The sequence below is a fragment of the Homo sapiens genome, chromosome 22 (assembly GCF_000001405.40).
Source record: "Homo sapiens chromosome 22, GRCh38.p14 Primary Assembly".
Lineage (NCBI taxonomy): Eukaryota > Metazoa > Chordata > Mammalia > Primates > Hominidae > Homo > Homo sapiens.
In genome coordinates this window covers 23,433,374-23,449,000 of record NC_000022.11, presented here as the reverse complement: position 1 = coordinate 23,449,000, position 15,627 = coordinate 23,433,374, and the positions used below count along the sequence as shown (strand labels likewise).

Sequence of the window (15,627 nt, the reverse complement as noted above, 5' to 3'; positions counted from 1 at the left end):
GTGGCTGTGGGGTCCTCCCCTCCTGAGCCCGGCCTGGCTGTGGGGTCCTCCCCTCCTGAGCCCCGCCTGGCTGTGGGGTCCTCCCCTCTTGGGCCCGGCCCGGGTGTGGGGTCCTCCCCTCCTGGGCCCCGCCTGGCTGTAGGATCCTCCCCTCCTGAGCCCGGCCCGGGTGTGGGGTCCTCCCCTCCCGGGCCCCGCCTGGCTGTGGAGTCCTCCCCTCCTGGGCCCCGCCTGGGTGTGGGGTCCTCCCCTCCTGGGCCCGGCCTGGGTGTGGGGTCCTCCCCTCCTGGGCCCCGCCTGGCTGTGGGGTCCTCCCCTCCTGGGCCCCGCCTGGCTGTGGGGTTCTCCCCTCCTGAGCCCCACCTGGCTGTGGGGTCCTCCCCTCCTGGGCCCCGCCTGGCTGTGGGGTCCTCCCCTCCTGGGCCCCGCCTGGCTGTGGGGTCCTCCCCTCCTGAGCCCGGCCCGGTTGTGGGGTTCTCCCCTTCTGAGCCCCACCTGGCTGTGGGGTCCTCCCCTCCTGAGCCCTGCCTGGCTGTGGGGTCCTCCCCTCCTGGGCCCAGGCTAGACAGCACCACCCTTTCCAGATGTAGCCGAATGAGAACAGGAGAGGACGTCAGCAGCCTCTGCGCCTTTTCACCTCCCACCCAGGCGAGGCCCATGCTGCTGGGGGTGACGTTTCGTGGAGCGCCACGCTTAGGGCAATGTGATGCTGGGGATGCGGGGTGAGGAGGGCCGGAGATGCAGGCCCGCCCTCCTGTGAGGCTGCCCCTCTTATCTGCTGTGGGCCCTGGGGCCCATCAGTTTGTCTCTCTGAGCTGAAGTTTCCTGAATGTAAAATGGAGACAAAATGCCTATTTTCCCACCTCAGAGGGCGGCCGGCAGCTTCCGGCCGAGACAGAGCCACAAGGACAGATGCACCTGCCATCTGAAACAGCCAGAATATGAGGCATCAAATGTGAAACAACAGTTTTCAGTCAGGAAGGGTGGTGGGCCTTGAGAGACGGGGCGAGCCTGGGGAGACGGTCACAGCCCAGGCAGGGCCTCGGGGGACCTGAGTTGAGGGACAGGGCTGGAGCTGGAGCCAGGGCGCAGAACAGAGTGCCAGAGAAGAGGGCTGAGTTCGCTGGAGTGCTTGGTGAGAGGCTGAGAAAACCTGGAGCATTAGAGAGAAAAACCCAGAAAACGGCGCCTGAAGCTCACACTGGGCTGGAGCAGTGCCTGTCTCCGGCAGCCTCGCGGGAAAGCCTGCGAACTAGGCGGCTCCAGGGCACAGCACTGAGATGGACACCCCTCAGCAAGGGGTGGTGTGAGCCCCAGACAGACGCTGCCCTGCTCCCACCTCACATTTCCTAAACCGAGACCCAGAGAACCAGGCTGTTTCCAAGTACCTGAACTGTGTCTCCGAACAGAGCTCACGAATATTTATAGGAACACACACACACACACGTGCATGCACAGGCACACGCACACATGCACACACAGCCTCGCAGCACTCAACAAAGAGAAAATCAGCTGAGTGAAACAAACCTAGGGCTGACCTGACGTCAGAAGCGGCAGATCACATTAAGTCACTGTAACTTTGCTCCATATGCCCAAAAAGTTGAGGACAGACATAAAAGGGACAAAAAAGAGCCAAATTGACCTTCTAAGGATGAAGACAACAAGTGCGGGGGACGGATCCATGCCAGATCAGACATTGCGGAAACAGGATCAGTGAAGCTGCAGATACAACCACGGAAACCGTCCGAGATGAAACAGATGAGAAAAAGAAAGAAAAGTGCATACAAACAAAAAGGAAAAAAACGGAAAGATAAATATAAAGGAGGCAGCACATCGGGCGTGGGCTGTGGGGTGACGTCACGTGGCCTGACACGTGGGGCAGGAGTCCCGGAGGCAGGCTGGTGGCACTTCTGAAATGGCTCCTGATGGTCCCCACCTCCAGGCATCACCCGCATCAGCGCCAGCCCTTCAGCGTGACTTACAGCTGATGCAAAGTGTGGCGCAAGTGCTGGCTTCCCCTCTGCAGTCACGTCACGGCAGCCGTGACTTCTGCGGCTCCCACCCTGGTTCTCAGAGCTCTGACACGCCAGCTGCCGTGCGTGAGCTGCCCACATGGCGAGGAGCTGCCATAGGAACCCAGCGCGGCAGCCCAACCACGGATGAGAAGCAGAATCCTTCTGACGGCCACATGGGTGTACCTGGACGTGGGACCTTCCCCAGCAGAGCCAAGAGGACCGTGGCTTGTGAGGTCTCTGAGCAGAGAGCCAGCTCAGCCACACTTGGATTCCTGACCCCAGAAGCCATGAGCCACTGAGTTCTGCAGCGATGTTATTCAAGGACTGGTCGCCAGTGGTGGGGACAGCAAAGAGTCTTGAAAAAGTAATGGCCCCAATTTTCTGAAATGTGTGGAAAAGTGTAAACTGAGAGATCTGAGAAGTTCAAAGAACCCTAACCACCCCCCCACCAAAAAAAAAAAAAAAAAAAAGGCAGGGGGAGGAAACAACATTAAAGTACACAAAGTACATCATAATCAAACTGGTCAAAACCAGTAGTACAGATGAAATCTTAAAAGCAGTCAGAGGAAGAAAAGACAATTTACTGACAGAGGAACAAAGATGAGGATGACAGCAGACTTCTCAGAGGAAATAATGGAATTAAGAAGACAGTGAGATCACCTCTGTAAAGTACAGAAAGACAAAGCCCAGAATTCTCCACCCAGTGGAAATATCTCCCCCCAAATAAAGACTTCTTCAGGTGTGCAAGAGCTTAAAATATCCCAAAAAGCAGCTGATTCACACTGCAAGAATATTAAAGGAAGCCCTTCAGACAGAAGGAAAATGAGGATGCAAACAGGGGCTTACACAACAGGCCAGGCCGGTGGCTCACGCCTGTAATCCCAGCACTGTGGGAGGCCGAGGTGGGAGGATCACCTGAGGTCAGGAGTTCAGGACCAGCCTGGCCAACATGGTGAAACCCTGTTTCTACTAAAAATACAAAAATTGGCCACGTGTTGTGGCACATCCCTGTAATCCCAGCTACTCGGGAGGCTGAGGCAGGAGAATCGCTTTAACCTGGGAGGCGGAGGTTGCAGTGAGCTGAGATCGCGCCACTGCACTCCAGCCTGGGTGACACAGTGAGACTCTGCCTCAAAAAAATAAATAAATAAATAAAAACAAACATGGGCCTACACAAGAAGAAGGAAGAACAGCCCTACTCCTTCCATGAATGAGGGGTGGGAGCTGCATATGCAGACATATACAACATTTACAATTATTATTTACATCTCTTTCAAAGATAGCTGACTAAACAGAAATAAAAACAAAGTATTGTGGGGTTTATCATGTGCATAAATAAAATATATTATAAGCAGACGACTAAGGCAGGAAGGAGAAGACTGGAAGTATGTGACTGTCAGGTTCTCACACTACACGTAAGGTGGTGTCGTATCATTCGAGGATGACTGTGTTAAGTTAAAGATCTACGTGCCCTAAATCCTAACACAACCTGTAAAAAATACAGTTAACAAATCAAAAAAGGAGGCACATGAACTTGTAAAAAATTCAATCCAAGAAAGGCAGAAAAAGAGGGAAGAAAAAAGAACAAAGGACAGACAGGACAAACAGAAAACAAATAACAAGATGATAGACTTATCTAATCAAAGTAGTAATCAATTTAAATGTAAATGGCCCAGTGAAAAGGCAGAGAATGTCAGATTTTATGCACATTTAAGACTCAGCTATATCCTGCTTTTAAGAAGCACATTTTAACTATGAAGACGCAGTAGATTAAAAGTAACGTGAAGCAGATACAGTGTGCTCACATTTCGCCGTGTTCACATGAGCACACCTTGCTTCATCCGTTGCCTGACTGTGCCTCACAGACACTGCATTTTTTACAAATTTAAGGTCTGTGTCTGGCAAGTCTATTGGCACTATTTTTCCAAAAGCGTGGATTCACTTCATGTCTGTGTCATATATATTTCCAACTTTTTCATTATTAGTATATCTTTTATGGTAGTCTGTCATCTGTGATCTTTGATGTCACCATTGTAATGGTCTCGGAGCTCCACAAACAGTGCCCATAAGATAGCAAACTTAACTGATAAATGTGTGTGTTCTGACTGCTCCACTGACCAGCCATCCCCCATCTCTCTCCTTCTCCTTAGGCCTCCCCATTCCCTGAGACACGACCATCACAACAATATTGAAACCAGGCCCATTAATAACCCTAGAATGGCTTCTAGGTGTTCAAGTGAAAGAAGACTCACATGTCTCTCACTTTAAATCAAAAGCTAGAGATAATTAAGTTTAGTGAGGAAGGCATGTTGAAAACTGAGGCCAAAAGCTAGGTCTCTTGCACCACACAGCTAGCCTGCAAAGGAGAAGTTCGTAAAGGAAATCACAAGGGCTATTCCAGCGAACACATGAATGTTAAGAAAGCAGAACAGGCTTACTGCTAATATGGAGATGGTAAATGAGCTCTTGGGGCCCTTAAGAATGATGCTAAGTCTTCTCTGTCTGTGCTCTATCAGTGGAACAACGAAGCCTGGATGACAGCACATCTGTTCAAACGTAGCACAGTGCACTGAATATTTTAAGCCCACTGTTGAGACCTCCTGCTCAGAAAACAAAATTCCTTTCAAAATATTATTGCTCACTGACAATGCAACTAGTTACTGGGCTCTGATGGAGATGAACGTTGTTTCTATGACTGCTAACACAGCATCCATCCTGTGGTCCCTAGATCAAGGGACAATTGACTTTCAAGTGTTATTATTTAAGAAATACATTTTGTAAGGCTATAGTTGTCACAGAGTGCTTCCTCTAATGAATCTGGGCAAAGACAACTGAAAACCTTCCGGAAAGGAGCTGTCATTCTAGATGCCATTAAGAACATCAGTGATTTATGAGAGGAGGTCAAAGTATCACCATTAACAGGAGTTTGCAGAAGTTGGTTCCAACCCTCCTGGATGACTTGGTTCAAGAAGAGGTCAGTGGAGGAAGATGGACAGATGTGGTGAAAATAGCAAGAGAATTAGAATTAGAAGCAGAGCCTGAAGATGTGACTAAATTGCTGCAATCTCATGATCAAGCTTGAATGGATGAGGAGCTGCTTCTTATGAATGAACAAAGAAAGTGGTTTCTTGAGATGGAATCTGCTCCTGGTGAAAATGCTGTGAACATTGTTGAAAAATGACAGCAAAGTACATCAACTTAGTTGATAAAGCAGTTTGAGGGGTTGAGAGGATTGGCTCCAAGATAGAAAGAAGTTCTACTGTAGGTAAAATGGTTTTAGAGAGCATTGCATGCTACAGAGAAATCTTTCATGAAAGGAAGAGTCAATCAATGTGGCCAGCTTCATTGCTGTTTTTTTTTTTTTTTTTTTTTTGGTGGGGGGATGGAGTCGTGCTCTGTTGCCCAGGCTGGAGTGCAGTGGCACGATCTCAGCTCACTGCAACCTCCACCTCCCAGGTTCAAGCGATTCTCGTGCCTCAGCCTCCCAAGTAGCTGGGATTACAGGTACGTGCCACCATGCCCGGCTAATTTTTGTGTTTGTAGTAGAGACAGGTTTTCACCATGTTGGCCAGGGTGGTCTCGAACTACTGGCCTCAAGTGATCCATTTGCCTCAGCCTCCCAAAGTGCTGGGATTACAGGCTTGAGCCACAGCACCCAGCCCATTGGTGTTTTTAAGAAACTGTCACAGCCACCCCAACCTTCAGCAACCACCACCCTGATCTGTCAGCAGCCATCACCATCAAAGCAAGAACCTCCACCAGCAAAGAGATTACAACTGGCTAAAGGTTTGGGTGATCGTTAGCATTTTTAAGCAATAAAGTATTTTTAAAATCAGGACATGTACATTGTTTTTTAAAGACATAATGCTATTGTACACTTGACAGACTATAGTATAGGATAAACATAACTTTTATATGCACTGGGAAACAAAATGCATGGGACTTGCTTTATTGTGATATTGGTTTAATCACAGTGATCTGGAACCAAATGCGCGATATACCCAAGGTTGCTTATTGACAGTGCAGCTCTGTATCAGACAAAGTAGATTTCAGAGCAAAGAATATTACTAGCAATAAAGGTCATTTCATAATGATAAAAGCGTCCATTTATATATGAAACAAAAACTGGAATGCAAGAAGGAATAGAGAAATCTGTAATTATAGTCAGAGATGTCAATATTCATCTATCAATAACTGATAGAACAGGAAGACAGAAAATTGGCAAGGATATAGAAGCTTTGCAAACATTATTAAAAATGTCAGCTACTTGACATCAATATAGCACATTCCAGTGGGATACAGGATACACACAGATTTTAAGTACACACACAACATTTACCAAGGCAGTAACATTCTGGATGGACCTTAAAACAAATTTCAAGAAATGTGACCAGATGCAGTGGCTCACGCCTGTAATCCCAGCACTTTGGGAGGCCGAGGCAGGTGGTTCACCTGAGCTCAGGAGTTCGAGACCAGCCTGGCCAACATGGTGAAACCCCATGGTGAAATCCCAGTTACTCGGGAGGCTGAGGTAGGAGGCAGGAGAATCACTTGAACCTGGAAGGCAGAGGTTGCAGTGAGCTGAGATCGTGCCATGCACTCCAGCCTGGGTGACAGAATGAGACTCTGTCTCCAAAAAAAAGTAGAAGGATTCAGACCGTTCCGAGAATGTTCTCTGACAATAATGAAATTAAATGAGAAATTAGTAACAGAACGGCATCTGGAGATTTTCAAAAAATGTGGAAACTAACACACTTCTAAATAACCCATATGTCAAAGAAGAAATCAAAAGGGAGGTTAGTAAGTGATTTGAACTGAATGAAGATAAAAACAAAATATCAGAATTTGTGGGATGCCACTAGAGCAGAAACTAGGGGGAAACTTATAGCACTGAATGTCCACATTAAAAAAAGAAGGTCTCAAATCAGAGACTTCAGCTTCGACCTTAAGGAACTAAAGAAGGGCAAATTAGACAAAGTAAGCAGAAGAAAGAAAATAAAGATCAAAGCAACAATGGTGAAAGAAAACAAAAAAGCAGTATAAATAATAAAACCCAAAGCTGTTTCTAGCCAGACTGACCTGGAATAAAAGAGAAGAGACAAGTTACTAACATCAGGAAGAAGAGGGATGATAGCACTACAGATCCTACAGATGTTAAAAGGGTAGTAAGAGAAATTATGAACAACTTTATGCCAATACCTTTGAAAACAGATAAAATGGACAAACTTCTGAAGATACAAACTACTAAAGCTCACCACAAAAGAAAAAGACAATGTGAATAACTCTATGTCTATCAAGACACTGATGTGTAGTTAAAACCTCAGGAAGAAAACTTCAAGGTTCAATGGGTTTACTGATGAATTGGATCAACTATTTAAAAAAGAAATAATATCAATTCTACATTAACTCTTTTCTTCCAGTTTGTTTTAATCAAGAATTCTACATGAACTCTTTAAGAAAACTGAAGAGGAGGAATGCTTTCCAACTCACTCTGTGAGACCAACATTACTATGATATACAAATCAGAAGACATTACAAGCCGCACCCCCCCAAAACTATGGAACAACCCTAAGGAATATTTATGCAAAAATTCAAAACAAAACGGTTAGCAATTCACATCCAATAACATATAAAAAGGATAATGTAGTATGACTAAGTGGGGTTTATCCTAAGAATACAAGGTTGGTTTAACCCTAGAAAATCAAAGTAATTCCACATATTAACAAAGTACAAAAGGAAAACCATATGATCAACTCAATAAATGCAGAAAAAGCATCTGATCATACCCAACAGGCATTCCTCAAAAAAAAAAAAAAATCTCAGCAAACTATGATTAGAAGAGAACTTCCTCAGCCTGAGAAAGGGTATCTATGAACGACGTACAGAGAATACCACACTTAATGGCTGAAGATTGGATGCTTCTCCCTCAGATCTGAAACAGGACAAGGATGTTCACTCTCACTGCTTGTATTCAGCATCATCCTGAAGGTTCTAGCTACTGAAATAACACAAGAACAAGGAACTTCACAAGCATCCAGTGTGGGTAAGTGGAACTGCAAGTGTACTTACAGATAATATCATTGTCTAAGGAGAAAATCCCATCAGATATACTAAGAAGCTACTGGAACTAACACATGAGTTTAGCGAAGTTGCAAAATAAAAAGATCAATATACAAATGAATTGTTTTTATATAGTAGCAACAGAAATTAAATGTAAAAACAAAACCCTTTTATAATAATATCAAAATCTAAAATACTTGGGATAAATCTGAAAAAGATGTGAAATACCTATGTTATCAGGAAGGGGTCTCAATCTAGACCCCAAAAGAGGGTTCTTGGATCTCACACAAGAAAGAATTTGAGGTGAGTCCATACAGTGAAGTGAAAGCAAGTTTATTAGGAAAGTAAAGAAACAGAAGAATGGCTACTCCATAGGCAGAGCAGTGACGTGGGCTGCTCGACTAACACTTATACTATATTTCTTGATTATATGCTAATGAAGGGGTGGATTATTCATGAGTTTTCCTGGAAAGGGGTAGGCAATTCCCAGAACTGAGGGTTCTTCCCCCTTTTAGACCATATAGGGGAACTTCCTAACATTGCCATGGCATTTGTAAGCTGTCATGGCACTGGTGGGAGTGTCGTGTCATATGCTAATGCATTATAATTACAGTATAATGAGCAGTGAGGATGACCAGAGGTCACTTTCTTTTTTCTTTCTTTAAGACGGAGTCTCACTCTGCTGCCCAGGCTGGAGTACAGTGGCGCAATCTCAGCTCACTACAACCTCTGCCTCCTGGGTTCAAGCAATTCTCCTGCCTCAGCCTCCTGAGTAGCTGGGATTACAGGCATGCACCACCATGCCCGGCTAATTTTTGTATTTTTAGTACAGATGGGGTTTTACCATGTTGGTCAGGCTGTTCTCGAACTCCTGATCTCATGATCTGCCTGCCTCAGCCTCCCAAAGTGCTGGGATTACAGGCATGAGCCACTGCGCCTGGCTGACCAGAGGTCATTTTCATGGCTGTCTTGGTTTTGGTGGGTTTGGGGCCAGCTTCTTTACTGCAACCTGTTTTATCAGCCAAGTCTTTGTGACTTGCATCTTGTGCGGACCTCCTATCTCATCTTGTGACTATGAACGCCTAACCTTCTGGGAAAGCAGTCCTGTAGGTCTCAGTCTTATTTCACCCAGTCCTTATTCAAAATGGAGTCACTCTGGTTCAAATGCCTCTGATACCCGCACATTGAAAATGAGAACACATTGCTGAGAGAAACTGTTCATAGATTAGAAGTTTCCATATCATTAAGATGTCAATTATCCCCAAAATGATCTATAGAGTCAGCATAATTCCAATTAAAATCCTAGCAGGCTGACAAAGATGCAAAAGGCTATTCAGTAAAAAAGAATGATCTTGATACTGGAGTAACTGGACGTTCATATGCAATAAAAAATGAAAAAGAGTCAATCCAGACCTTGCACCATATAAAAAAAAACTCAAAATGGATCATGAACACAAATGTAAAATTTAGAACTATAAAACTTCTAGAAGAAAAAAAATGGAGGCAGTCTTTGTGACCTTGGGTTAGGTAAAGATTTCTTAGATACGACAGCAAAAGCACACTCTATAAAATAAAAGACGGGTAAGTTAGACTTAATCAAAATTAAAAATGTCTGCTCTTCAAAAGACATTGTTAAGAGAATGAAAAAACATGTCATATATAAGGAGAGAACACCAGCAATGTACATATTTGATGAAGGATTTGCATCTGGAGTATACAAAGAACTCTCAAAACTCATTAAGGAAACATAGAACCCCATAAATAATTAGCAGAAGATGTGAACAGGCACTTCAGCGAAGACCAGCAAGTTGGCACAGGTACAGATGCTCAGTGTCATTCGTCATGAGGAAAATGCAAATTAAAACCACAATGAGACGCCATCAGTCACCTCTTAGAAGGACTGAAATTAAAAAGACTGATCATGTCAAGTACTGGTGACCGTGTGGAGAAACTACAAGTCTCCTATACTGCTGATAGGAATGGAAAATGGTGCAGGCACTTTGGAAAACAGCTTGGCAACTTCTTGTAAAGTTAAGCATGCACCGACCACACAATCAAGCAGTTCCACTCCGATTTAGCCAAGAGAAAAGAAATAAATGTCCGTGCAAAGCTTGCATGTGAATGTTCACTGTACACTTTATTTGCAACAGCCCCAAGCTGGAAGCCACCGGAATGCCCGTCAACATCTGGATGGATGAAGACACTGTGGTCTATCTGTATGACTGTAAAGGGATAAACTGTTGATACCACAGCAACATGGATAAATCTCAAACTAACTACGCTTAGTGGAAGAAGCCAGACGAGAAAGGCTAGATACTGCGTGATTCCACTTACAGAAACTCTAGAAAACATGGATGAACCCGTGGTGACAGGAAACACAGAAGGATCAGTGGCTGCTTGGGGTCGGGTTGCAGTGGGAGGGGCAAGGCAGGCTGCACAGGGCCTGGGATCTGGGGGCGAAGGGTCTGTTCACTGCCTTGACGGCCTCACGGGTGCGTGTATATAGACGATGACTCATCAATAACGCAGACTCAGCAAACAGGGAAGCCCTGGCAGGAGGAGGTGGTGGCATCGGGGCAGGTCCAGCTATCACAGGCCAGCCTGGTGAAACACGGCAGTGGGCTACTTCTCCAGACAAAACTGCTCCCTCTTGGGTGTCTAGAGGCGATTCCTGCGTAGCTCTGCCTGGACTGGGAAACATATTCCTAACCCCGTGCAGGGGCTGCAGTCCCTCTACCCGAAACCCACGCCAACACCCACTTCACATTTTGCATTTGAATCTCAGGAGGTTCACGGACCCTGTAACCCAGCGGCACCCGCAGCCCCTGGGATGGAAAAGCATCATAAAAGCAGACAGTGGCGCGTGTTGGGGAGGACGGGGAGAACCTGGGAGAAGAGGCAGCTCCTTACAAAGCTCAACGTTAAATTACCACGTGACCCCGGCACTTCCTCTTATGGGTGTACACCCGAGAGAAACAAAAATGCATTTCCACACACAAGCTTGTACACGAATGTTCACAGCGGCACTGTGTGTAATAGCCCTAAACGGAAGCAATTCAAATGTTCTATCAATGGATGAACGGATAAACAACATGGTCTATCCACACACTAGACTGTATGATTCATCAGTAACAAATGGAGCGTCAGCACGTGGTCCAATGTGAGCGAACCGTGAAAACCTTACGTTCAGTGAAAGACGCCAGACGCCAGAGACCACTCATCGCTGAGCCCATCTCCCTGCAACACTGCCGGTAGGGGAGTCTAGAGACAGAACACAGACAGTGGCTGCCGATGGCTGGGAGGGGATGGCTATGGGGCACGTTTCCTTCCAGGGTGATAAAGGCATTCATTCCAAGATAGACTGTGATGATGGCTGCACGCTCTGTAGATGACATCTCAATCAAGCTGCTTCATGAGAAAGGCCCAGCCACTGACCACGGGGTGAACGTCCTGCCGTCCACAGTCCCTGGCCGAGAAGAAAGTATGACTGACAGGTAAGACTACCTAAAGTCCCAGGCACACCCTGGGGCGGGGAGGAGGCTGGGGACAAGGACAGAGTGTGCAAAGACACGCCGGGCTCTGGGAGGTCAGCAGAGAGTCTGGACCCCAGATTTGAGGCAGCCAGGAACTGCCTGCCAGTCCCAGCTCATATGGCCTGAGCTTGGCCAACCGTGGCGGGTCCCACTCGCAGATGGCCAGCTGCCTCCGTGCCCTGGGGCAGGGATGTCCTGTTCCTGCTCTTTAGAGTGACAGGGAGGCCCTCCCTAACAGACTTCTCAGTCATTTAGGTTGGGGGCAAAAGGGGCTGGCCGCAGCTTCGTGTAGGTGGAGCAGGGCTTGGTGGGGGGGCAGGGCTAGGTGGGCTTGCCCGGGGTCGAGGTGGTGGTCACTGTCTAGTCCCCACCCAGGACAGACACTCGGGGTCCCAGGGAGGGCTCTGCCTCCTGCCTGGCAGGAAAGCGTCCTGCCCACCCGGTGCCATGGCCTGGGGAGTGCTTGGCTCTCAGGCCAGCTGCCCGCAGGAGAAGCTGGGACTGGGGCGGGGAACCAGCCTGTTCGCTTCCGAGTGGGGCTGACAAACCCCCAGCCTCTTCACAAAGCCTCCAAAAACGGAATGTCGTGGGGAACTGGACGCAGATCCACAGGGCCATAGAGAGCATTTCCGGCTTAGTCAAGGGAGTAACTTTTTAACAGTTTAAATGCGCGTGATGGGATGTGCAGGCTTGGGAGGCAGTGGACCAGATAAAACCATTGGCCAGAAGATACAGAAGGGCTCTAGGCCGCCCAGGCCCTTCAGTTAGAACATCCCCCACCCCTCCCCCCCGGCTCCCAGGGCAACGTCAGAGACCATCTGGATGGAGGATGGGGCTGGTCCTGGCTTCTCACAGTTTGGGAGGTGGGGCAGCTGGGCACCAGGTCAGCAAGCCACAGGTCCACCCACAGCCAAGGCCCAGGCTCCCCGCCTCCCCCCGTAACCACCTAGACACAGAGCACAGACCCTGCCTGGCCATCGGCCCTCCAATCCCTGCTGGAAGATGTGCCCAGGCGGAGCAGGACCCCCGCATTACTGCTGCGCGTCCAGCACCTGCAGCGGGGCCCAGCACGGTGGGCATTCCACATGGGCGAGGGCCAGACGAGTGAGCCACACCCCACCCTTTACTCAACCATCCCCCATGAGGACGACATCAGAGTCGTCCCCCAAGCCCAGGTCTGACACTCTCTTTCCCCAACTTTGGCCTGGAGCCCGAGGCCTACCCCTCTGCTCTCCCTGCACGCTGGGTGCCCTGGAGCCGGTGAGCATGAGCACGTGAGATCCTGAGGCCAGAAACATCTCCCCAACCCAGCCAGACAAACTCTAATTCACCTGTGAGCCCCAGCTCCAGGCCACCTCCTCCAGGCAGCCTTCCTTGACTGCAGTGCACCCTGGGGTATCTGGGAGACGCCTCTGCACAGTCTTTGAATCGGGCTGTACAAGTATCTGTCCTAGCGGCAGCAGAGCCGCGTCATAAACAGTAAAACAAGCCCGGCGCGGTGGCTCACACCTGTAATCCCAGCACTTTGGGAGGCCAAGGCAGATGGATCACCTGAGCTCAGGAGTTCGAGACCAGCCTGGCCAACATGGCAAAACCCCGTCTCTACTAAAAATACAAAAAAAGCCAGGCATGGTGTCGGGTGCCTGTAATCCCAGCTACTCGGGAGGCTGAGGCAGGAGAATCACTTGAGCCCGGGAGGCAGAGGTTGCAGTGAGCCAAGATCGCACCACTGCACTCCAGCCTGGGCAACAGAATGAGACTCCATCTGACAACAAAACAAAACAAAACAATAAAACAGCAACAGCAGCTCAGGGCTCCTGCAGTTCAAGGTTTTAGCGGCCTGGGCATGCGGTTTCTCTGCCTACTTGGACCTGAGCAGCCTCCCTCTGCCCAATGTCACTGCACACTCCCTGCATGCCCCAGCCCTGACTCGGGTGAGTGGACCATGCAGACGGCGAGAGGCCATGCAGGCCAAGCCAGGATAGAGCGAACCCTGGCGGGGCCAGGTGGTCCCCGTGTGTTTGCAGCCTGGATGTGATGCCCACATCTCTGGGCCAGGCACAGCTCTCCACTGTCGGCGGCTGGTGGGATTAGATGTGACCAAGGCCGCTCCCGGGCCGGCTCTACTCTGTGGGGGGCAGGTGCGGCTCTGGGGGTCCTGTTGGGCCTGAGCACGTCCCGATAACCTGGCTGCTGCCCACTGCCCAAGCGCCAGAGCACTCGGCCACCAATGAGAGCTGTGCTTCCCTGGTCCTGGGTTAAAAATATCCCCGTAAGTGACAAGACTTTGAGAATTTCGTCTCTCCAGTCACTCACATGGGGGGCGAGGACAGCTCTTGGCTCCGCGTCTCGCCCGGCTGCATCTGATGGCTCCCTGGGCTGAAGCTGCATCTCATGAAACAGACGAGAAGTCATTCACAGCCCGACAGCACAGGCACAGAAATTTGCTGTTTTATACCAAGTTGGGCGGCCTGTCATCTAGAAGCTTCTGTCCTGACCTCCTCAGCGAAGAGGAAGTCATGGAACCAGCTGCTGAGCCTCCTGACCTCGGCCTGGCCTCTCCTGGCAGCTGTGGGCCCCAGGATGAAAGCGGGCACCACGTCACTCACGAGACAGAAGCTGTCGTTCTCAGAGCCTCCCAGGTGAGTGGCCGGGCGCCTACCTGAAGCTGGACGAGCCCACAGTGGCTGAGGCCAGTGGGGACCCAAGGGGCCGGTCCGGCCTTCCCGGACCACCAAGGAAGGTGGGCGCTGCTTCCCTCGCAGTGCAGATGGTCTCGGCCGTCACTCTGCTGTCCCTCTCCTGGCTGTGAGCTCAGCTTCAGTGTCCCCACCTGTGAAATGGGGAGACCCCCAATCCTTCTGGGCGGGTGCCTTGCCTCTGCCCTCGCATGAGTCTCCCCTTTCTGAGCTGGGATTCCATCTCTCCTGGGAATCAGGTGCTGCCTGGCTGAGAACCCGGTAGCCAGGCACAATCACGCCGTCACCACCCCAGCCCTCAACCAGACCCTGCCTGCTCGCCGCGCTCGGCCGCCATCTTCCTGTGGACGCCACTTACCCTCCGGCGTCGCCATCGGCTGCAAATTGCCTTGTTTTTCATCTTTGGCAGGGCTCAAAATTTGATCATGAAAGGGAATTTTCTTTTTTCTTTCTTAATTAGTACTTGGTAATATCACCAAGCTGTGAGTTTATGGCTTTGTAGATCTTGTGTGTTTGACACTAATTACTCACAAAGGCTTTTAAAGCTGCATTTCAACTCTGCAACCACCATGCCAGTAATTAAGCTAGAGGAAGCGGCAACAGATTTCATTTTTCACAGACACCCTTCCCACCTGTGCTCCCGCTCCGTGTGGCCGCAGCCCCCGTGGCCCTGTGGAAACCCAGCAGCTCCTTGCGGCTCCGGCCCTGGAGGCCTGAGGTGGCCTTGCCTCCAGGAGCCCGGGCTCAGCCGTCACAGCCGGGCAGGTACAATCAGGACGAGCTCCCTGTGAGACTGGGGACCCAGGCCCAGTCCCAACCCAGGTGAAGGTCCCTTCCTTCTGCCCCAGAGACGACTAACGAGCAGCTCCCCTGGCTGCCCCAGAGCCCCCCACAGGGGCCGTGGCTTCTGACCCTTCAGACTCAGCTGTTCCCAGGGGCCCTGCTTCTGCCCCGCCCGCCCCCACGGCTGCACTCAAGCCTGCGCTGTGCACACCGAGGCCAGCTGAGTACCGGATAGGACCTGGGCTGAGGCTGCCCAGCTCACAGGGAAGCAGAAGCCGAGAGACCAAGAAGAAAACATCCCCCAACTGGCTGACAGTCGCCCTCCTCGACCCCAGATGCCACTAAGAACAACGCAAAGTTCTGGCGCGCAGGGAGGGAAGTCCGTGTTGACTTGGGGGCGGGTCTGCAGCAGGAAGGCTGGGCACACCCTCCACTGGCTGCTCACTAACTCCCCTGCTGGCAGAACCTTCCGCTGCACAAGCAGAGGAGAAAGGAAGGCGTGGAAGAGAGCAGGTGGCCCACGGGCTGGGAGGGGCA

The 15,627-nt window shown here is 49.8% G+C and overlaps 1 long non-coding RNA gene across 1 annotated transcript, besides 1 other annotated feature; it reads right to left on the bottom strand.

Moving 5' to 3' along the window:
* Positions 12,658–13,349: an enhancer, noted in NCBI's record as "H3K4me1 hESC enhancer chr22:23777839-23778530 (GRCh37/hg19 assembly coordinates)". NCBI's record gives its function as "activates a minimal SCP1, AML or CMV promoter by ChIP-STARR-seq in primed H9 embryonic stem cells {active_cell/tissue: H9 hESC(primed)}" and the evidence as "EXISTENCE:reporter gene assay evidence [ECO:0000049][PMID:30033119]".
* Positions 13,930–15,437, bottom strand: LINC01659 (long intergenic non-protein coding RNA 1659). The gene is made up of 3 exons (NR_110538.1): positions 14,940–15,437; positions 14,271–14,441; positions 13,930–14,177 (listed from the first exon to the last, which is right to left on the bottom strand). It is a non-coding gene; the product is annotated as a long intergenic non-protein coding RNA 1659 (long non-coding RNA).
* Positions 15,438–15,627: the final 190 nt, after the last annotated feature.